The sequence below is a fragment of the Homo sapiens genome, chromosome 12 (genome assembly GCF_000001405.40).
Source record: "Homo sapiens chromosome 12, GRCh38.p14 Primary Assembly".
Classification (NCBI taxonomy): Eukaryota; Metazoa; Chordata; class Mammalia; order Primates; family Hominidae; genus Homo; species Homo sapiens.
Window position 1 is genome coordinate 70743185 of NC_000012.12, and position 22383 is coordinate 70765567.

Sequence of the window (22383 nt, forward strand, 5' to 3'; positions counted from 1 at the left end):
ATGCAAGAAACAGAAAAATGATATATATGAGGCCAAAGGAGGAGAGAAGTTTAAGAAGGAGATAGTTACTAGTGCTAGATGGGAAATGAAACATGTGCTTTGGATTTGGTAGTGAGACCATTGATAATTAACTTGATAATCGAGGATGTGAGAGAAGCAATGAGAATGAAAGGTGGGAGAAGAACAATGAGGCAGCAAGTACACTCTGTTCTTTTAAGACATGTATTTGAGAAAGGAAGGAAAAACAATACCAGAGGAGGCACTGGATTAAGGGAGTTTCTTTAATACAAGAAAGAACCTATTTGTATGCTGAGGGAACAGCATTAGAAAAGAGGGTACAGCTGAAGGTAGAGGAGGAAAACTGATGAAGTTACTAGGGTTGAGGTGAATGACCTGGAGCCCTTGTGGAGAGAATAGTCTTTTCCTGCTCTGAGGTGGAACAAAGTAGGAGGTGAAGTGTGGGATGCAGTGAAGTTGTAGATAAGGGGACAGAGGATCTATTTAACACTGATTACACACTTGCTCTGCTAGAATCCCCCACGTGGACCAAAGAGATGGGTATGATTCCGTCCTTGTATTCGCCCTTCTCAAAGATTCACTTTAATGAAATGAATAAGTGAATATTTAACCTTATACTCCTTTAAACTGTAGACCAACATGTCCAGCAGTGGTCTACAGAGGGCAGGATGCTGGGAATGGCTACTTTCCTAGACAATTTTATTCTGACCTTGCTTAGAATTGGTAGTGCATGATGATAATAAAAATTTGTCTTTTAATCAGTTTCATTATGACCCTTCATTGTTATCTACTATAGATAACATGGCCTCCTATTGCCTGCAGACCCTTTCTTGCCACCGGCCCTTCGTTCATCACTGATGCCCAGGTCTGTGCTTCAAAGTTCCTCTTTGAAGCAAACATAAAAGCACAAAAATAATGTGGATGACCAGAGTAAAAGAACCAGAAAGAAGCTAAAAAATCAAGTTAAACCTCTTTATCTTTTAGAAGAAAATGAGGTCCAGATGAGTGAATGACTCAGGTGAGGCCACCAAACCCAGGAACGGCAGGGCTGGGTCTGGAATCCAGTTCTCCTGACTCCCAGTTAGCCTTAGGGAGAAAGTTCCATTTTCTCTACCTTTCCACACTGAATCACAAAAAGCAATTTAGTGATATCTACGTAAGTGAATGTCACATGGAGACCTACATTGCCCATCAAGAAACCACAGGTATTTTAGGGGAGGAGGTGGAAAGAATGACTTGATCAATCTCTGTTTTCTTCCTGTTGTGGAGTCAAAGGGTTCAGTGTTTAAGGACTTTTAGAGATAAACACATTCCTTTATTTTTATGTCATCCATTGTTCCTTGGCAATACTTTCAAATAATTATGAAGGATCAATTTTGTATTCTGCAGTTCTTAAAATCCCAAGCTATATTTTCTGAAGGGTGTGTTTGTGTGTGTAAACCATAACTATTTGCATAGGGCATTGTGATGTATCATGGGAAATATATTCAAAATTTATATATGTGATTTAAAAACCTCAGGCAACAAAATATATGGGGTTAGAAAATGGAGACATGGAAAATAAGAGGAGAATGAACCTGGGATATTACTTTGAGAACTTACTCTCCCACTACCCTGGTGTTCAAAGTTGGATACACTACAAGTCATGTTTTAAATATAAAATTAAAGCTTCTTATTTTAAGAAACGCCATGGGAAAGCTTTACTTAATATTTTTGAGAGGCAAAGAATTAGTCTCTCATTTATGTATTTTGCAAATCCAAGTTTTCTTACATTGGATTTGCGTTTAATGGAAATGTATTGGTATAAAGTGAATCACATGTATAATACATCACAAAAAAGGTAAGGCAACAAAAATAATGTCATGGATTTTTTTTTTCTTTAGATAGAGTTTCACTCTGTTGCCAAGGCTGGAGTGCAGTGATGCTATCTCGGCTCACTGCAACGTCTGCCTCCCAGGTTCAAGCAATTCTCACATCCCAGCCTCCCAAGTAGCTGGGATTACAGGCATGCGCCACCTCACCTGGCTATTGGCCAGGCTGGTCTTGAACTCCTGGCCTCAAGTGATCCACCCACCTCAGCCTCCCAAAGTACTTGGATTATAGGCGTGAGCCACTGCGCCCGTCCAGTGTCATGGATCTTGATACTGAATGTTTGTTGTGGTTAAAAAATGCAGAGCTAAAACTTTAAAAAAAATTAATCTGTGGCATCAACTCCTGCCTAACTCCAGACAACGTGGGCTTTTGCAGGAAACACTCTGAGTTCATTCTCAGTCTTCTACCTACCAGAGTTTCATGACAATTAAACAAGATAGCATCTTGTGAGGTCAGTGAACCTCAATAAGCTAGAAATTGTCTTGTAGTTGAAGATGAACTTTGCTTGGATCTATACCATCTTGAATCTAGACAAGCTTAGCAGAATCAGACATACCTAACAGATTTTATCTAACACAGTTGGATTCCTTTGGGAGACAAGAAACACTACTTCATCTGACTGTCCATTTAGTGGTGAACAATTCTACCCAATTATGTCAATCATTACTAGTTCTTTCTTTTTTAGTTGATGAATACTCTTTTTATAAAAAGCCACACGTAGGGTATACAGAACAAGCTCTTACCTCTCTTGAAGTCCTATGGGCTTCATTTTGAAAGGAGAAGGGCAAACAGAGGTAGCGGTGGTAGCTTTGATCTCAGGAGCACCTCGGCCTTGAGGGTCCACGACAACATTCAGTACCTTTGGGGCCTGCTCAGGTTGGACCATGCTGTGGACTGTCTTTGCCTCGGACAGTGCTGGCTGTAATGTGATGGGCGATAGGTGGATCTCCTGGTTTTTCTCTTTGTCTTGTCTTAAGGAAAGCTGAAATCTTTCTTTTAATCTGTAAAGAATCTATAGAAGGAGATATAAAAAACTCCTGTCACATTTTCTCACACTAAACAAGAGTATGATCTCCTCCACCCCACCCTGGCCGACAAACCAAAATAAAGGCTTAACGATAAAGTAAACAAAGCCCTCTGAGAGATGATTTCTCAGTTTCATGGTATTGAGATTTTTCTCAAGACAGTACACTTGGTATTTCCAGTTATGCTGCACATATGTATCAAATAATTGTGCACATGAATCTGTTCCACAAAGATATATTCAAAAGTAAATTTAACCAATTTTATGAAAAATGCCAGATGTTAGTTTGGTCACATGGGGAAATGGTAGGCTTACAGAAGGAATAACCGTAAAACACACGTCTATGACATTTATAGAAATGGAGATATACATCCAACATGGCTTAGTAGAAAAAAGTAGTCTTGCAAGTATTAATAAAATAATAGTTATGCCATAAACCACAGTTTCTTATGTTGGTAAATCTCTGCATTAGTCATATATCAACTTGAGTATCTGGTAAATACTTGACAAATTAAATTTAGGGTATCTATGAAAGAATAATTTGGACAACCAGAATTTTTATTCTTACCACTTTGCCCTCTTAAATTTTAATATTTATTTTATTTTATTTCGATACAGGATCTGGCTCTGTTGCCCAAGCGAAAGTGCAGTGCTGTGATCATAGCTCACTGTAACCTCGAGCTCTCCTTAAGGGAAAAGACTATGCACCTACGAGATAGAACTAGAAATGCATATTAAACATTGAACTCCTAAGAAAAGAAAGACATTTTATTGTTTTTTATGTCAGTCCACCTCCTTGTAATCTGGAAACTTTTATACTGGTGATATTCATTGACTCTGGTAGGGTAAAGTTAAAGCTTAAATTTTGAAAAAAGGGTGGATTTGGAATATTCACATGATAAATATTTATCACATGAATGAGAAAGAAAAGATGTCTGATATTAAGTAAAAGGTCTTCTTACCTTTATAATAACTACTTTCAAGCAAGTGTAATGTGTTTTTTTAAGCTATAGGATGGAAAAGACTGAAGATGAATGCCTTTATCATGTGCATAGTGTCTAAGGTTTTTAACTCACTGCTTCTCTTCAGTTTCCATGACCTTCACGGTGTAAAAACAAAACCTGCACTAGAACAGTATCAATCAGATGATACATATATTTTAGGCTTATTGTGTTCAGCTAAACATTTAATTACTAAACGATGAGGCAACAGAATTTAAAATATTGTTTTAGTTGCAAGAAAGTTATTTTCCCAAATGAAGAAACAAATATATCTGTACCTTTACAAAAATACACTTAGAAGATAAGGCATATATTATATATTTTAAGCTCTTCACATCTAAATATAATATGCATATGAGAACATTTGCTTGCCTGTTTACACTTGGATTTTGGAGAAATATGAATCAACAACGAAAATGGGAAAGCCAAGGAAATCTTGACCTTCTCAATTGTTCTTGACAGGTCAATTTTATGATTTATATTAGTGTAAAACAAAGTCTAGTCCAAAGTCCTTCCTTACCATTCATGAGCTTATGTTTTTGATGAGAAACCTTTGTAACATATTTTCCAATCAGTCATCTGTTTACTTCATGTCTGGTTACAGGTCAACTTTGCAACCTGTCTCTGTGTGGTACGTGTACAAACTGATTTCTACATCTTTAATTAGGGAAAAGTAGAACCTGGAGAATGTATGATGTATATAAGATAGTGTTTAAAAATACTCAAGAGATTGGGCTGTCTGAAAAAATATGGAAAAAATGGAAGAGATTGCTACTTGGCAATAGGGTAGTTGTCATGAAATTAAGCTATAAGGCAGTGATTCTCAACTGGCAGGGATTTTGCCCTCAGGAAACGTTTGGCAGTGTCTGGAGGTATTTTTGGTTGTCATATTTTCAGGGTGTGGGGGAAGGAGAAGGGAAAGGGTGCTACTGGCATCTGGTAGGCAGAGGCTAACTACCTTTACAATGCATTGGAAAGGCTCACCACACACCCCCGCCAACAGAAATAGTAACTCCGAAATGTCAGTAGTGTTGTTTGTAAAACCCTGACGTAAGGGATCATAAAATTTTTGTGGTGTAATCTCCTCATTTCACATTTAAGTCCTGAGCTATTGGATGAGTTATGGAGGTTTGGAAAGAAAACCTAGAATCCAAGTTTTGTGACTTCCAGGTATGTGATCATTCAACTCTATTGTTTCCTCCAAAGTCTCATGTCCTTCTTTGAAACCTCTTTCCGAAAGCATCTGGAAAAGTGTGTCAGAGATTTTTCTCTGCACAGATTGAGATCTGGAATATAGCATATTCATATTTCTCTATGGGAATTCACTTTGTTGAAAAACTCAACCTAAAAGCTTACCGTAGCAATGGCAAGTCAACATTTTGCCTTCATCTCCAAGAGCTTGTTTGACTCTTGGACTGGAATAAAGTCATGTAATAATTTAAAAAAGGAAAAGAGAACAGATTATTGAATGAGAGGAGCTGTAAAACTCAAACTATAGCAAGAGAAAGAAAATAATAGTGGGAATAAAAAAACCAGAGGAACACAGAAATGGGAGGAAGCTAAAAAAATTCGATGAAGCTTTTCTGCAGCTTAAAATTTTCGTTCAAAAATCTCATGAGTAACACAAAACATTCTGTCAAATGTGTTCAGATTTCAAAACGATGCCACCAACCACTAGTCTTTAACATTTGTTCTTTACAGTGTTTTACAATTAGTTCTGAAAGAGTTCATTCACTCTTTTAATTTAATAATCCTGAGTCAATCCCTACTACATTCCATAAACAAGATATTGTAGATGCAAAAGTAACACAGAACTCTGTCTTCTGGGAATTCATAGGCTTCCAGAAAAGATAAATGTGTAAAAATTATGTTCAGTACAAAGTACTAAGTGCAAAAATAGAGGTGTGCCCACAGCACAGAGGTATAATGTGGCACACATTTACCAGTTCCATCTGGGTAGAATGGCTCTGATAAATACAGCCATTCGCATCTGCTACTACTGGAGTTATTTGTGGCCAGAAATATATGTTCACAAGACAGAGTGATAAGACTAAAAACAACAACAACAACAACAAACAACAACAACCACAGTTTGACTCCTTTATGAAAACAAATGGAATTATGGTAAAGAATGCTGACTTTCAATTTAGATAGACTTGGGTTTGAATTTTTACCACTTTCTACTCTGCCACCCCCATATCCACCCATTGCATGTTCTTGGTCAAGTCATTTATTTTTTCTGAATCTTAGTTTTCTCATAAGTAAAATTAGGAAACTAAAACATGTTAGGCATTTAGCACTACAGTAAATTTAGTACCAGTTTAGTACCAATAAGTGTGCAATAAATGGAAGAAACTAATTTTTAATGTTATTACTATTAAGACAATTGTATTCTTCTTAATACAGAAAAAAAATTGAAAATTAATTTGAGATATATGCCTACCTAACCAATCATTCCAGTTAGGAATCTGGTCCTAGTTCCCTTCATCCCGAGGGATTATATTTAACAAATGAGAAAATTATGTCCACCTTTGACATGTATTTATTACATGATGTTAAGGCTATAGCAGGTGGTTCAATGTAGGATTTCTTGCTGCGGCTACCAGACTACAACTAGAGAAACTCTTTCCCTCCCATATGGATGACTCTCCTATGGGTCTAACATGCCAGTGTTTTTATTGATCCAAACAACTATTTTCATGTGATTTCTAAAACTGCTTTCCAGAAGCAATCTGGCCTGTAGACATCTCTAGCTATATTTCATAAATGTCTTTGTACTTGTTAATAAACCTGTAAGGACATTTGGATGTCTAATTTAGATGATAAATGGTGTTCTTTCTATTATTTGTTCAAGTTTAAGAACTAATTCTTCTTAGTAAGTTTCTTTCATCTAAAACAGACTGAATGGATTGGAAGTTGCCCACACATTTTTTCTTGGAAAACTGTATTTTTCTATTTGTCGCTCCACCCACTGCACATTCACATTTGTGAGGTGCTAAATAAGTCAGCATATTTGAAAATGTCATGCCTGTCTAATTTTATGCCTGGCAACATTTTTTTTTTGTATTTTAAGGAAAGTAAACAATATGCCACTTTTCAAAAATTCTGCCAAGTCTTATGTTGTTGTTACATAGCACATACAACCTTCCATTACAGCAATTTACCTATATAATTTTATAATAAAACCCATGCTTTTCATTTCTACGGCATGTAGGAATGCCAATGCAAATGGAGGCACTTGATTTGTTATAAATATAATCAATGCCAGGGGGAAAATTCTGAGTTATATCTTTCCTTTGTCATGGAATCAACAAAACTATGGGAAACAGAGTTGGAATACATGTGTTTCAGAATCACGAAAGTGATAGTACAAGTATCACTGAGAAATGCACGTGAAACACTTACTTTAAATCAAGCTTATTATCAAAATAATTTGAACACTTAGAAAGATGAGCTTATTTTAGATAATCGCTTTGACATGTCCCTAAACATGAACTCTTGACTCCTCTGTGGTAAGTTCCATCAGATAAACTTGGCTTTGTGCTAATCCTATTAGGTAGTACTTCTTTTCTTGTGAATATGAACTTCCCGTCTGTGTGCTGCGGGTTCCTCTGTTACTTTTCAGAATTTGTTTTTATTTATATATTTTTCAGAGGCAGAGAATCTGAAGCCCAGGCTGGAGTAAAGTGGCATGATCATAGCTCACTGTAGCCTCAAACCCCTGGGCTCAAGTGCTCCTCCCCGTCAGTCTCCTCAGTAGCTGGGACTACAGGCATGTGCCATCAGCCTGGATGATTTTTTAAACCCTTTTTTTTTTTTTTGTAAAGACAGGGTCTCACTGTGTTGCTTAGGCTAGTTTTAGACCCCTGGGCTTATGCAATTCCCCTGCCTCTGCCTCCCAAGTGCAGGGATTACAGGCGTGAGCCACTGCACTTGGTCCCCCTGTTACTTTTAAAAGTGACTCCTTCAAATTAAAATTTAAGACAGTGTTTGAAATCCATCTAATTATTTCTTTCATTTCTTTAAGAACCATCTGAACACGCTCATCCTCATTCTGAACGTGTCCCTCTCCCAGGAAATGAGAACATTTCCACACAGTCAGGGAAGCCAAATAACCTAGGAGTCATCCTTAATTTTACCCCTGTTGCTGAGGATTGGGACACAGCAAGTTTTGTCGGTTCTACTTTCAAATAGATCTCAATCCTTCACTTCTCTCCTTCCCCACCACCCACCCCTGTTCTATGCCACCAGCATCTTCTTCACTGGGATATTGCAGAAGCCTCCAGAAAGATCCTCCTCCTTCCACAACTCTCCCCATCCTCTGTCCACCACCACTTTCTACCAGAAGAAAATGTGATTTTTAAACACACACAGCAGATCATATCAAGGCTCTGCCTAAAACATTCTTCCCCTAGAGCCTGAACAGGCTAAGCTTATTCTAACTGCACCCACAGTACCCTCTGCCTAGGGGTCCTTTACTCACATATTCACCCATAGGTCTCAAACATCTCAGGTTGCTCTGCTCCACTCACTCATTATTATGGTTTCTTCTTCATAGCACTTATCAACATTTGATTTTTTAAATTAATATACTATTTTTTAGAGTAGTTTTAGGTTTACAGAAAAACTGAGCAGAAAATACCAAGTTCTCACATACCCTTCTTCCCTATCTCTTCATTTTCCCGTTATTAACATCTTGCATTGGTGTGATTCATTTGTTGCAACTGATGAACCAATATTGATGTATTATTATTAAAGTCCATAGTGTAGATAGTGTAGATTAGAGCTCATTCTTCATACCTTGTACAGGTTTTGACAAATTCATAATGTCATGTATTCATCATTACAGAAAATAGAATAGTTTCACTGCCCTAAAATCTGCTGTCCCCTACCTAATCGTTCCCTTTCTCTGAAATCTCTGGCAACCACTGATATTTTCTATAGGCTTGACTTTTCCTGAATGTCATATAGTTGGACTCACATAGCATGTTCACCATTTGATTTTTTAAAATTAACTTAATTATTTTCTATGTCTCCCTCTAGAGTAAAGACTTCAAGAAAATAGGGATCTTATCTGTCTTGTTTTCTCCTTTGCCCACAGCACCAGCAACAAATAGACCCGCAGAGAATATTCTGCAGGAATCTGTTGATTGAATGAATAGATGAATCCACCTGCTAACCCAATAGAGAGCAATCACCTATACTTCTGAAATGCTCCTTTCTTGATTTGTTCTAATAACGTTAGAGTCGACTTCCCTAAGTTTCTGACCTTTACATTGATGTTTTGCAAATATTGGGAAAAGAAGAGTCATCCTCTGGCCCCAAGTGGTTGAGGGTGTGACTACTATAGGTCCTTTTGCCACAAGACCAACATAGGCATTTATCTAGTTACATTCAGTACATGAGCACGCCCTGAGTTAGAAATGCAGAATCTGAAACACATTCTATATGTTAATAGCAAGCTCTGCTCTGTTTCTGCTGCCCTTTAGTACTCAAAGGCTGGGCATGACTCTGCTTTCCCACTTCCCTTCTTCTATCCTTGCCTTTGCTCTTCTGAATCACATCCATTGATCCCCTGAATATTTTCCACTTTTATCACTTTCAATTCCTTTCTATTCTCCCCCTTCTCTTATCCTTTCTCATCTGCAAAGCAGAAAAATACCCTAATTGTGACTGACAAGAGAGGGAACAGCACTTGAGATTTCCCATATAAAGGAAGAATCACGTATATTAAAATGCAATTAACCATAACAAGGAACTATGTCCTTTAAAACAGAGATGCCCAGAAGACGCTGCCATAATTTCCCAAAACCTCCCACTTTCTCTCATTAAAATTCTTTCCTCTTAATCTCTGCCATGTGAAATATAAAAATCAGTTTTTACTCAATTCTAAATTATTCTTTTGTTTATTGAGTCACAATTCTTAGAAATTTTTTTTTTCTTAATGCTTGACCCATAGGAGCTACCTCTGAATTCATTATGGTGGAAGATTTAGGGTACTCTTGTTACTTCACAGATTTTAAACTCTAGAAAACATGCTTATCTTCACCCTGTTTAAGACTGTGCTTGTTTTATATCCTCTAAGTTTAGCCCATGCAGCCTGTCTTTCCAGAGGGAGCCCCAATCTTTCTAACAGTAACCCCTTCCCAGTAGGGGAAGCAGAAATAAACAAAATCCAATAAAACACTTAGCAACATTGTTGATTGTGGAGAGAAATAAGTAACATAATGACTTTTGGGGGGCACTTAAAAACTAAGGAAGAAGTATTTATTTAAATGTACAAAATTAAAAAGAACATAGCTCACAGGGAAAAAGGACATTAAAACCTATTTGTAAACTCTAATTATTATATTACATCTTGAAATTTTCAAATGAGTAGAAACATCTTATTCTACCCTAAAGATACCGTTAGTTCATTCAATGCCAAATAGTACTGCTTAATTTAGTGGGTTAAGTTTGTTTTGGGTTCTATTTTTAAAATTAGAAACATGCTTTTAAAGGCTACACATTATTACTTACAGAGCTATTCCAGCATATACATTTATACTTTTGTACTATTTATCCACCTTAAAAATGAATTAGTAGTCTACCTAACTTAGCCTTTGAGGGTATAATCATCTCCTTTTCATAGAATGCTTTCAAGTCCTTTTAAAAATAAGGAAATCAACCATTCCTTAGGGAGTAATCTTGTCTCAAAGACATATCTCTTTTTAAATTTTTTCCTGAGTTCCATAAAGATGATATAAAAGGAGAAATAAAGTAAACCCAAAGTGTGCCCGTGAGACTTTACTGACTTTGAGGGCTTCAGTGACCTCAGTAAATCACTGTCTAAAGCTTCATTCTCAGAGTTGATCAAGTTACTAAAAACTGCATTGCAATTACAGCCTTATTATTCAGGTCAGCATCCTTAATTCCATAAGCTCTCCTTTAGCAATCGCTCTGATGTCAGATATGAAATATTCCTAATCTAGCAGGATCATAGTCTTCCTTCTGCTCGGAAGCATTTTAACATTCATTTGAATGGCAATGTACCCACTAATATCAAGCAGTGGGCTGAGCAAAGGATAAAATATACAAAGAAGCAAACTTACCATCAAACACGTTACTATAATAACAAAGATGCTGAGAAAAATGACAACAGCATAAAATCCTTCTTTGCTCCAGATTTTGTCCGCTTCATGCTGCCCTTGTAAAACATTTTTCTTTAAAAGCAAAACAGAAAGTCCGACGTTAAATGAGAGCTTGAGAAAACTGGCGTTCTTATCAGACACTAAACATATTTTTAGCCTTATTCCATTCAGTGTAGTGCAACACACCTACACCCCCCGCTGCCAGAGCTGCTTCTCAAACTGATCTAAGACAACAGACTGCCATCCTTATATATCGAGATTATTTAGTCTCCTATGCAGGAGCAAGCGTGCCTGACATGGCATCTGCAGGTCCCAGGCTTTCTAAACATCCCTCAGCGTCTCTCTTGGAAACTACCTGGTTCATAGGTAAGAGAGTTCTGTTCTTTTCTGTGTGGAGGAAATTGTTTCTGATTTCCTTACTCTGTTTTAAGTCCCCTCCCACAACATCAGCACCCTGGATTACGTGCTGTACTACCTCTTTACTTTTAAACAAAAGTGAAACAAGTGCAAACAAAAGCTTGTGGTGCATTAATAAATACAGCAACAATGCCAGCATTATTTCCTTCTTTCTTTTAATCACATCTTTTTTTTTTTTCAAATAGAGTCTCTGCTGTCAAAACCTGACTAAAATATCATCTCAAGAATACATATTGTTAGAATATCACATATTTTTCTAAAGTAATACGGAACATTAAAAAGTTCAGAATTATTTGTCAATAAAAGGTAGAATACACAGGTTTATCTTTATTTGTATCATTTTTGTTCCACTTTGGGGGTGGAAGAGCAGAGAAGAAGCATGAATAAAGTGTGCATGACTCTATTAATTTTATTTTATTAATTTTTTTAAAGAAGCACATTGACTAAAATCCATTCTTAGATTAAAATTCAGTTGTATAATTTAGTGACAGTATAGATTTATAGTTAACGAAACTAACTTGAAACCAAATAGTCCATGATTGGGAAAAACATATAAAGGCTAAATCAAGTCAAATGCTTTAACTCATCTAAAATTTCATTTTGTTGAAGGGTGCCTTTTTATTCCCTTTAGTGAGAGTACATGTCTGTCCTTGGTTATTGTTTCCAGTGATTAAGAAGGCCTGGAGTAAAACACGTCTTGTAGGTGTCTGAACTTTGAAATCATTGCTAATTTATTTTTAAGGCTTTTAAAAAATAAAATATACCCAACATTTATAAATCAGACAAAAAATTTACCTTGAAAAATATTTTATGAGAACTTTCATTCTGGAATGCAAGTGTGTTTTGGTGGGAAGATAAGCAAGGCTGAACAGAAAAGATTTTTGAGTTCAATTGTGATTACAAAAATTATTTGGAGAAAGCCTTTATTAAATGCTAACGTAATCAGGATTCTATTTTCTTTACTTGTAAAACAGCGATGTGCTCACTAATTATAGTAGAATAGTATCTGGCCTACTTTCTAAGACATAGATAGATGCATAGATACAAGAAATGATTTAGATATGTATTTTAAAGATATATAAATGATAAATCGATGGAGAATCTGAAAACACTTGATTGATAAATGATTAGAAACCAAGTACCCTGCTGCAAAACAACTTTGGGTTCAAGCGACAAATTTTCTTTCACCTCTTTGACGTCAGCCATATCGTTTTTTTAAATTCCAATGTCTCTATAAGCATAGCTGGAAACTAATAGAAAACTCTTGCAGAAATCAGGTATAAATATGGAAATGAATTTTTTACAGGCAACAAAATAGCATCCATTGTTTGCTATAAAAGCAAACTAGTTAAGCCTTCAAGTAGGCAGCATAAATTTGTCAAATTTAAGTATAAGGAGTTGAGCTTAAGCCCATGTAAAATTTGGATAAAAAGGGGTGGTTAGGTGGGTGGAAAGAGATTTTGTGTTCCTAACCCGATTTGGTTCATTTTTTTTTCTTGCTGTAGTTCTACAACTCCTAGAATATCAACATGTTCCTTTCTGCTTAAGACAAACCTGTTTTGTTTTCTTTTTTAACTGAAGCAGTAATGATGAAAGAATTAACTCCCACCCTCCCATCCCCCACTCCCAGTTAGAAAGACACGTTTTAAACTCCTAGAACTTAGTCACTGCACTTTCTTGGTAAATAGATTTCTTTCTGAGTCATGCTACTCCTGCTGAACACTACTATATTTGTACAGAGATCTAAAAAACTTGATAAGGGCAGGGTAATAAATGGACAAGTTTGTAGTTAAGAGCTCACAAATCAAAAGACTATAATTCACAAGAATCTTCAATCTAACCTTTGCATAGGGTTAACCCCATGCTTTTTATATTTTGTCAGGTGGCCGAGAGTTGAATAATTCAGAGGCTCTGTTGTTGGGTCAAGCCAATGCCACTATATCATCTTTATGTTTTATTATTTCATAGCTACATTTCTTTGCCCTTTAACTTAGTTGCAGTGAAAGAAGCTGATGGGTTTTGTTCTATTATTTAAAATTTGGTCAGTTTTCTGTATAGTTAACAATGGCTTCTCTATATCCTGTTTAATAATTTGATGCACTATAGCTCATTCTTCTTTCTTTTGTCCTTTCTTTTTAAATATTTTAATCAATTCTGATCTCAGATGCAGAAGGAGATCCCAAATGCTAGGAGAGACGATTCAGAGATACAGAGGATCTAGGAGATACACCTCTTTAAGAGAGAGGAAGTACACAGAATAAGAATGAAGTGCAAATGTTACAAAGTATCTGGTTAATTTGATTGACTTGGCAGATAAATGAGATGTATCCTATAACAATATGGCTTTGTTGGATAAATGCCAAGCTTCCACTGTACTGTGCACAATGTGAGCAATTGTTCTGAATGGTCGAATACAGGTTAATATTGATTGTATGTCTCCTCAGCACTGTATGGCTAGGTCTACACTAATTTAGACAAGACTACCTGCTAGTGTTCCTAGTTTGAAGGAATAATCATTAAACTCACACATTATTGTTTACATTTGTATGTAATGGCTTTTTTTCTTTGTAAATATTTCATGAAGGTATCAGTTAGCACATTGGACTTTTATTTAAAGAAGGTCACTTTCTCCTTTGAAATATAAGATTTGGAAACTGGAGTAATTTGCAATTGAACAACAACAAAATTCCTGAATCATTTTTAAAAATGTCAACACAGAACTTACCGTTTTAATAGGTATTTAATTCATTTTGTAAAAACATTTAATTTTATTTTCCTGGGATTTTACTTATTAGGCAAGAGGAGGTCTAGTTTTATCTATATGAGTGCCTATAATGTTCTAGATATCATATACAAATATATAAAGGAAATAATGTCTTTTCCTTTAAGAAACAGATTACAAATGAAAACAAATGACTAAACAAGAACAGTTTTCTAGTTGGGTTTTTTTGTTTCTGAAGAGTCATTTTCAATTTAAAAAATCAAGCATATGAAAAAACAATAAAAAACCATATCCTTCCATGAAAGTAATTAACGTAAGTTTAGGAATAGATGCTTTGAGACATCATTCACGATGTTCTATAATTCATGCAAAGGATGAAAAGCCAAAATACCAGTGATCCTTTTTTTCTGTTAATGAATATGTTGCCATAACATGTTATAATTTTAAGATTAAAATGTGAAAAAATGGGTTGAGGTATAAGTTGTTATAAAAGATTAACCACAGAAAAAATGAATAAAGTTGTAAGAAAACTCACAGAATAGCATTTACCAGTTTTAAGCAACTATCAATCAATATTTTTGCAGGGCTTCTTTAGGTTGTATCTGTACCAAGCACCTCCCCACTGGGGTGCCTGCTCACTACAGACAGCTTTTCCCTGTTTCTGCATTTAGAGATTCTGGTCAAAGGTCAAAGGGTAATGCCTGGCCCCTTCTAGGAGTACTCAAACAAAAGGTTCAAATAATCCCTCTGTCCTTCATGATATGCTCCTTATATCTGATTCAAATACTTCCTCATCTTCTGTAATGCATATTTTCTAAATTCTAGATTTCTAGATTCCAACAATTTTATGAGAATCTATCACATTTATCATCAAAACACTTTCCTTATTCAAATGTAGTCTATTGTGAGCTAGTAGCTCTGTGAGAGGCCATTAAGCTAAGTACCTCACCTTCACTGGACTGGGGTATATTGGAGGATGCCCAGGTACTTGCTTTAAAGCCAGCTCTTTTTGTATAGGGAGCTTCTTTTGGTTTGCAAATCTGAGTGACTCAGTAAGTTGCTCTATTCTTAAAGCCTTCAGAATGGCTTTTAAACTGAGAATAAAGCAACAGGGAAGGCCGTTTACATGATTCTCTAAAAGCTTATGGGAAGCAGGATACATTTATCCAACGGTCTTTCTAAAATTTAAAGAATTGTCCTAGGCAAGATGTGTACCAGTCAGTCCGTGTAGGGCCTTGACTGTGGGAATGGGGTTTGGCTTTGTGCACAAGCGGAACTGCTTCAGATTCAGACGTGGGCAAGGCTGGGAGGGGCCTGGTGGTTCACCTCCTCCTGACCCTCTCCTCTGGCCTCTCTAAAGCATAAGGGGTCTCTTCTCCAAGGCACCCATGGCACAGTGTAGTAACTTTATTCATAGAACTATATTCTTATTATCTCTTTGTGTCGTATTTGCCCTATTAGTGCATAAATTCATTGAGAACAAACATCATTTATTGTTTGTTTTCTTGTTTATTTATTTTTCTGGCTTTAGATATTAGCTAGCACAGTACTTGGCTATTTGCTCTTGTTGTTGTTGTTGTTGTTGTCTGTTTGTTTTGGGACTCCACCCAGGCTGGAGTGCAGTGGCCTCATCATAGCTCATTACAACCGTAAATTCCTGGGCTCAGGTGATCCTCCTGCCTCAGCCTCCCAAGTAGCTGGGACCACAGTTACACACCACCATGCCCAGCTAATTTTTAACTTTTTTTGTAAAGTCAGAGTCTTGCTATGTTGCTCAGGTTGGTCTCAAACTCCTGGCCTCAACCAATCCTCTTCTCTTGACCTCCCAAAGTGCTGGGATTACAGGCTTGAGCCAACGCGCCCAGCATGACTATTTGTTGACTCAGTTTTGTTGTGTGCCCATTGCATGCCAGGCACTAAATGAAGGCAATGAAGACACAGATCAAATGACATGTCACAAGCTCTCAAAAAACCCACAGTGTAGAGATGAGCCTAAAGACTAATATGGAATAAGGAGTTTTTGTTTTAAGCTTGACGGGAACACAGGGTAAGGAGCATCTTCGTCTGTGGAGGTACAAGGGATACTTTGCTACACAGTAGACTGATCTTAAGAAATGAAAGGTATGCATGGTGAAATCCCATCTCTACTAAAAATACAAAAAATTAGCTGGGCGTGGTGGCAGGCGCCTGTAGTCCCAGCTACTCAGAAGGTTGAGGCAGGAGAATGGCATGAACTCGGGAGGCAGAGCTTGCAGTGAGCCGAGATGCACCACTGCACTCCAGCCTGGGAGACAGAGCAAGACTCCGTCTTAAAAAAAAAAAAAAAAAAAAAAAAAAACAAACGAAAGGTATGTAGATGAAACAACACATACAAAAGCATGAAGGAAGGAGAGAATATGGTGTATCATAGATCTATCGAGTTTAGAATTGCTGAAATGTAAACTAGGAAAGTGTTGTTCAACAATTATAAAGCCCAGCATACAAAGGACCATATACCATATTAAGAAATCTAGACTTCATTCCGTAGTATTTTGAAAGCCAGAGAAGAATCACGAAATTAGGAGGGCATGGCCAAATTTATGTTGAGAAAGATTACTTTGGTGGCAGGAAAGAAAACACATTGGGTATGTTTGGAAACAGAACAGAGAGAGGCGCAAAACCAAATGCAGGAAGACCAGTTGGGGGTGGTTGTGACAGTGATGGTTCAATGATGACATATATTCTCATTGTGCCAAGTCATCCTGCATTCAAATTACATTTGTCTGCTACCTAGGCTGTGTGAGAATTTCTGCATATACTTTAAAAATTCAATCCATATTTCAAGTTTATAAGTGCTATACCCATTTTGGATTTGAAGAAACTAAGGCTCAGGGAGGTTGATACCATGCAAAGGCAGACAACCTCACAGAGATTAAATGGCCTGCCCATGGTCACACACATTTTACGTGTGGCTTTGGGATACAAACTCCATCTGGGTGCAAGTGATCCTGCTGCCTCAGCCTCCCCAGTAGTTAGGATTACAAACATAAGCCACCATGCCCACCCAGAGCTTTTTATACCACACCTGTGATACTAAAATGAGAGGCAGTGTGATTTACTGTAAAGGTGAATAGACCAGGGATCAGGACATCTAGATTTTGGACAGGGAAGATGGCTCACTCACATCTGTAATCCCAGCACTTTTGGAGGCCAAGGTGGGAGAATTGCTTGAGGCCAGGCATTCAAGACCAGCCTGGGCAACATAGTAAAACCCTGCCTCTATAAGAGAGAAAAAAAAGACACCTAGATCTTAGGTGGTGCTTTACGCCTCTCTTGTTCTGTCACCTTGAGGGAGTCACTTAATTTCTATGGGCCATACTTTCTGTATCTACAAGGTGTTACACATATTCCCTCCAGTTTAATTTCATGATTCCATGAATTGAATTACACGTATTTAGGATGATGATCCTTTCAGTAGGTTTGTTAGAGCGGGATGGAGTAATAGAATTGGAAAGGAAATTAAATCCATTCAGGAGTGAGATGGTGGAGGTGGTAGAGGAAATTTTTTAAAAGCGACAAATTTGGAAAATACTATGAAGAAACATCTATAGTTCTTAAGACTTAAGTTCTTTAAAAAACTATAGTTTCTTCAGAAAAAGAAAAATCACATTTCAAATTAATTTCAAAGTTATGGGAAAAGGCGAATATCTGGTGACCATTTTGACAATGACGACAATGAGGGGAGGGGTGCACCTGTAGAGAAAGAAAGGTTTAAATGTATTTTTGTTTATTTGACATATCAGTTTCAAGCGATCAATTGACAAAATACATCTAAATCTTCTTTCTTCTAGAAAATTTACTGGATAAGTCAAAATAAGTTATAAGGCCACAAAGGTTTGAAGAAGAAAAATGCCAAAAAGTGAAAACCTTAATGTGAAAGTGCATTTCCTTAAGAAGTAAACATATACAATGTAAAGATCAGAGAATTCTGACACTCAGGGAAATTTTTATTATCAAATAACATACAATAAACAACTTCCATCTCAAAGCCTCTTGGGGTTGAATTACCATAGCATGCTAACTGTTCACATTTTTAAATGAATTGTTTCGTGCAACAACATACCTCAGGAGAGACTTCTGTAATTCCAAACTGGGATAAACTTTGATGCAAAACATTGATATTAAGTGAACGAAGAACTTCCTCAGAGGGCAGAGCATCAGAAATTCCTGTTTTTCGGTTTATGGGAGACACAAACAGTTCAATACTGTTCTTCTTTCCCTAATAAAAGCAGAATATTTGTATTTGTTATAGACATTTTAAACAACTTTGGATAATATTTTTACCTGTCCTTTAGAAACATTAAAGGAAGTCAGAATTCTAGAATCCTAAAAGGCTTTGTGGAGATTATATTTATTAGTTATTCTCTGATAGACTTAATGTTACCAGTCCAAAGTCTAAAATCTTCAAATAGCTTTCTTGCCATTAGTTGCCACCCCCCAAGATTTGTAATTTTATATTTCAGTGCATGCTTGCATGCTGATTCATTTACCATTCCATATTGTAATTTTTTGATGTAGATTGTTCAGATGTTCCCTGAGTAATTATGTTTAAAGAAGCATTTTAAAATCAAATGAATTAAAGTCCAAAGTAATAGTAAAATTACAAAATTACATATTAGACATCACCACTCTCTCTATTATTTTTATAACTTGTGTTAATGTGAAGGCTTGGCTAGCTAAAGAAGATGGTGCCAGATGATCTTTGAAGTCCTTTTCCTGATACTGTTCTTCACGTCAAATATGTCACACATTTAAAATTGGTCATTTGGTGGAAATGCATATCTTATGTAGTGATGTCATGAGACTTTTCCTATTAGTATTACCTCATTAGCTGAAATGGAGTCAGAGAATTTCTTACCATAAATGTCTGATATCCTACACACACATACACACACACACACACACAGAGAGCAGACAAAACCATGGCGATTGATAATATTATCTTTCACAACTTACACAACACACTAATAGAAGGAAATTATTCTTAGCTTTCTTTCTGACACATGGAGAGCTCTCATGCTAGAAAGTTTTCTTTTAATGTGCTTTATCAGAATTTTAGCTGGTATAAAATGAAGTATCAGTTTACTACTAGCAAGCCAGTAAAAGTTTTTTCATGTTTGCAGAGAACAACAGACAATAACTAAATACTGATGTGAAACATGTTTATAACAATTTAAATAGTTTGTGACCCAATAACAACTACTGTAGGTACAGAGCACTTGTGTTGTGCCTAACATGCTATTTACCTTAAATCTTTTATCTCATTTATTGCTCAAAACACCGCTAAGCGATAGGTATTATGGTTATCTCTATTTTACAAATAAAACGTAAGAGGCTTGCCCACATTCACATACATGGAATATGGCCACACTGGAAATGAAGTATGGTTTTGTCTGTCTCCAAAACACATGATGCTAATCAACATGCTTTGCTATGTCAGGTATTGTAACTCTAGCTATTATAATAACTACTTTGAACCATGCTACTAACATTCTCTGAGGATATGATAAGCATATTCCTTCCTCAGTCTGGCAAATCCCTCCTTCACCCTTGCAAACAGCTATTATGCTCATTAAACCTAATATGTATAAAAGTATATCTAAGATATCTATATCATCTCTCTATATATCTTAGCAAAATATATATGCACAGGTTGATGCATATATATTTTTATATGTATATATTGTATATATATAAAAAATCTAGATCTAGATCCAAGACTTTTTTTCTTTTTTTTTGAGATGGAGTTTCGCTCTTGTTGTCCAGGCTGGAGTGCCATGGAGTGATCTCTGCTCACTGCAACTTCCACCTCCTGGGTTCAAGTGATTCTCCTGCCTCAGCCTCCTGAGTAGCTGGGATTACAGATGCCTGCCACCATGCCCGGCCAATTTTTTGTATTTTAAGTAGTAGAGATGGGGTTTTACCATGTTGGCCAGGCTGGTCTCAAACTCCTGACCTCCAGTTATCCACCCTCCTGGCCTCCCAAAGTTCTGGGATTACAGGCGTGAGCCACCGGGTAACCTTCACTCATTCAGGGGAATGTTGTATTTCTTCTTCTGTGGTATGAGTTAAAACTTTTTAACAGCTTGTTTACTTCTAGAACATTGTTGATTCACAGAATACAAATTTTTATGAAGAAATGAAACAACTCACTCTCTACACACAGAAAAAATAAAAAGAAACATAAACCCCAAACCAAAACAAAAAGCAAATTCCCTCCATAGTGAATGCAGATGGGTGCAATAGAAAGCTGAGCTCCATGCAGCAGAAGCACAGCAATTTAAGGCTGGGGGAACATGGAGTCCTTGCTTAGACTCCCATTGCAGTGGACATTAAGAGCAATTTAAAACCTGTACAGTGATCCCAAAGTTCCTTTTCACATAAAACTGAGGTGACTAGCTTTTTACAGAAAGACAGTCATCTGATCTGAATTTACTTTTTTTTTGGCCTTTGCTCACGCCCACTTTCCAGTGCAGATGGGAACATGTAGTTGCATGAAATCCAGGTTCCCAAACACCGAGGAAAGAGAGGAAATAATGGATGTGGGTGATTGACATATAGGCCTAGACTGGGCCCTATACAACAGATCCTTTGGGTTTACTTTTTTTTTTTTTTTTTTTACTTTACCCACTCAGATGCCCATTCAAGTTTTCTCTTGGTTTTCCTGGACTACCAATTCCTGCATTCCACCTGGGCTGCAGTCCTCAGGGTCAGTTCTTTATTCTTTATTTAAAATGCCCTGCCTTGTGCACTCAATGTCCATTGTTCTACTGATATACTTGAAAGTATATCAATAATGTCTGGAAACTGCCTCACCTGATATACTTGAAAGTATATCAATAATGTCTGGAAACTGCCTTACCTGATATAGAAGCTTTCACTCTAATGGAGAATATTTTCGGAGTAGTGTCAGGTTGGTAAGGCAAGTGTTTTGGGCTCTTTCATATTTACCACAGGACCTAGACTTGAACTATGACAGAGTTAACAAACTTCCTCTATAAAGGGCCAGATGATAAACAGTTTAGGCTTCATGAGCCAATCTTTTGCAACTACTGAACTCTGCCACTGTAATACAAAAGGCATCATGGGCAATGGGTAGATGAGCAGATATAGCTTGTTTCATAAAATTTTATTTGCAAAAACATGACGTGCCGGATTTGGCTCATTAGCCATACAACTATAGCATGAGCCCTTTAGTGATTAAAAAAACCACACACACGGCTTGAATTTTGGAAATGCGAAATGTGGGTATCTTACAATGAGGCGATTGATGTGCACTTGCTGGGGTAAGAGTCCTAAAGCTGCAGCCACTCCTTGGCGGAAGATCCGAAGCAAGGTTATGTTCAGCTTGTTTACATCCATTTGCAGTGTCTAGAAAATAAGGACAAAAATAAATCCAAATTATAGTATTAATTTGTATAGATGTATAGAATACATCCAAATAAGTATTAATAAGTTCACGACATTCAGTTCTTGACTCATGACTGACCACAGTTTCTGTGACTCTGCTAAGTTTACACTAATAATGCTTTATTGCATTTTTGATAGAAATAAAATTATAGGAACATTGCATGTGAAATTTTAAATGGTATTAGTTAAAAAGATGTATTATAGGGGTGGAGCCAAGATGGCCAAATAGGAACAGCTCCAGTCTACAGCTCCCAGTGTGAGTGATGCAGAAGATGGGTGATTTCTGCATTTCCATCTGAGGTACCAGGTTCATCTCACTAGGGAGTGCCAGACAGTGGGCGCAGGACAGTGGGTGCAGTGCACCGTGCACGAGCCGAAGCAGGGTGAGGCATTGCCTCACTCGGGAAGTGCAAGGGCTCAGGGAGTTCCCTTTCCTATTCAAAGAAAGGGGTGACAGACGGCACCTGGAAAATCGGGTCACTCCCACCCCAATACTGCGCTTTTCCGACGGGCTTAAAAAATGGCACACCAGGAGATTATATCCCTCACCTGGCTTGGAGGGTCCTATGCCCATGGAGTCTTGCTGATTGCTAGCACAGCAGTCTGAGATCAAACTGCAAGGCAGCAGTGAGGCTGGGGGAGGGGTGCCCGCCATTGCCCAGGCTCACTTAGGTAAACAAAGCAGCCGGGAAGCTCCAACTGGGTGGAGCCCACCACAGCTCAAGGAGGCCTGCCTGCCTCTGTAGGCTC

At 37.2% G+C, this 22383-nt stretch overlaps 1 protein-coding gene and 1 long non-coding RNA gene across 11 annotated transcripts in view, besides 1 other annotated feature; one reads left to right on the forward strand and one right to left on the reverse strand.

Annotated features, from left to right (window-relative positions):
• The window catches only part of PTPRR (protein tyrosine phosphatase receptor type R), a 282666-nt gene that overhangs the window by 105112 nt on the left and 155171 nt on the right, over nucleotides 1-22383 (reverse strand). For 4 of the 9 annotated variants that reach the window (XM_011538615.3, NM_002849.4, NM_001207015.2 and 1 more), the window contains 4 exons: nucleotides 21481-21594; nucleotides 18287-18442; nucleotides 11007-11117; nucleotides 2634-2902 (listed from right to left, as the gene is read on the reverse strand). In XM_011538615.3, the coding sequence (XP_011536917.1) occupies nucleotides 2634-2902; nucleotides 11007-11117; nucleotides 18287-18442; nucleotides 21481-21594 (650 nt within the window). Of the gene's footprint in view, nucleotides 1-2633; nucleotides 2903-11006; nucleotides 11576-18286; nucleotides 18443-21480; nucleotides 21595-22383 lie in introns of those variants that run through there. The other 5 variants (NM_001207016.1, XM_047429235.1, XM_047429234.1 and 2 more) reach the window with 2 other exon arrangements.
• LOC124902960 (uncharacterized) overlaps nucleotides 1-22383 on the forward strand; it is a 54602-nt gene that overhangs the window by 23989 nt on the left and 8230 nt on the right. The window contains exon 1 of one of the 2 annotated variants that reach the window (XR_007063362.1): nucleotides 11110-11411. The exons of the other annotated variant lie outside the window; for it this stretch is intronic. This is a non-coding gene — a long non-coding RNA (uncharacterized LOC124902960). Of the gene's footprint in view, nucleotides 1-11109; nucleotides 11412-22383 lie in introns of those variants that run through there. 2 annotated transcript variants of the gene reach the window in all.
• Nucleotides 14633-15439: an enhancer, noted in NCBI's record as "OCT4-NANOG hESC enhancer chr12:71151597-71152403 (GRCh37/hg19 assembly coordinates)". NCBI's record gives its function as "activates a minimal SCP1, AML or CMV promoter by ChIP-STARR-seq in naive H9 embryonic stem cells {active_cell/tissue: H9 hESC(naive)}" and the evidence as "EXISTENCE:reporter gene assay evidence [ECO:0000049][PMID:30033119]".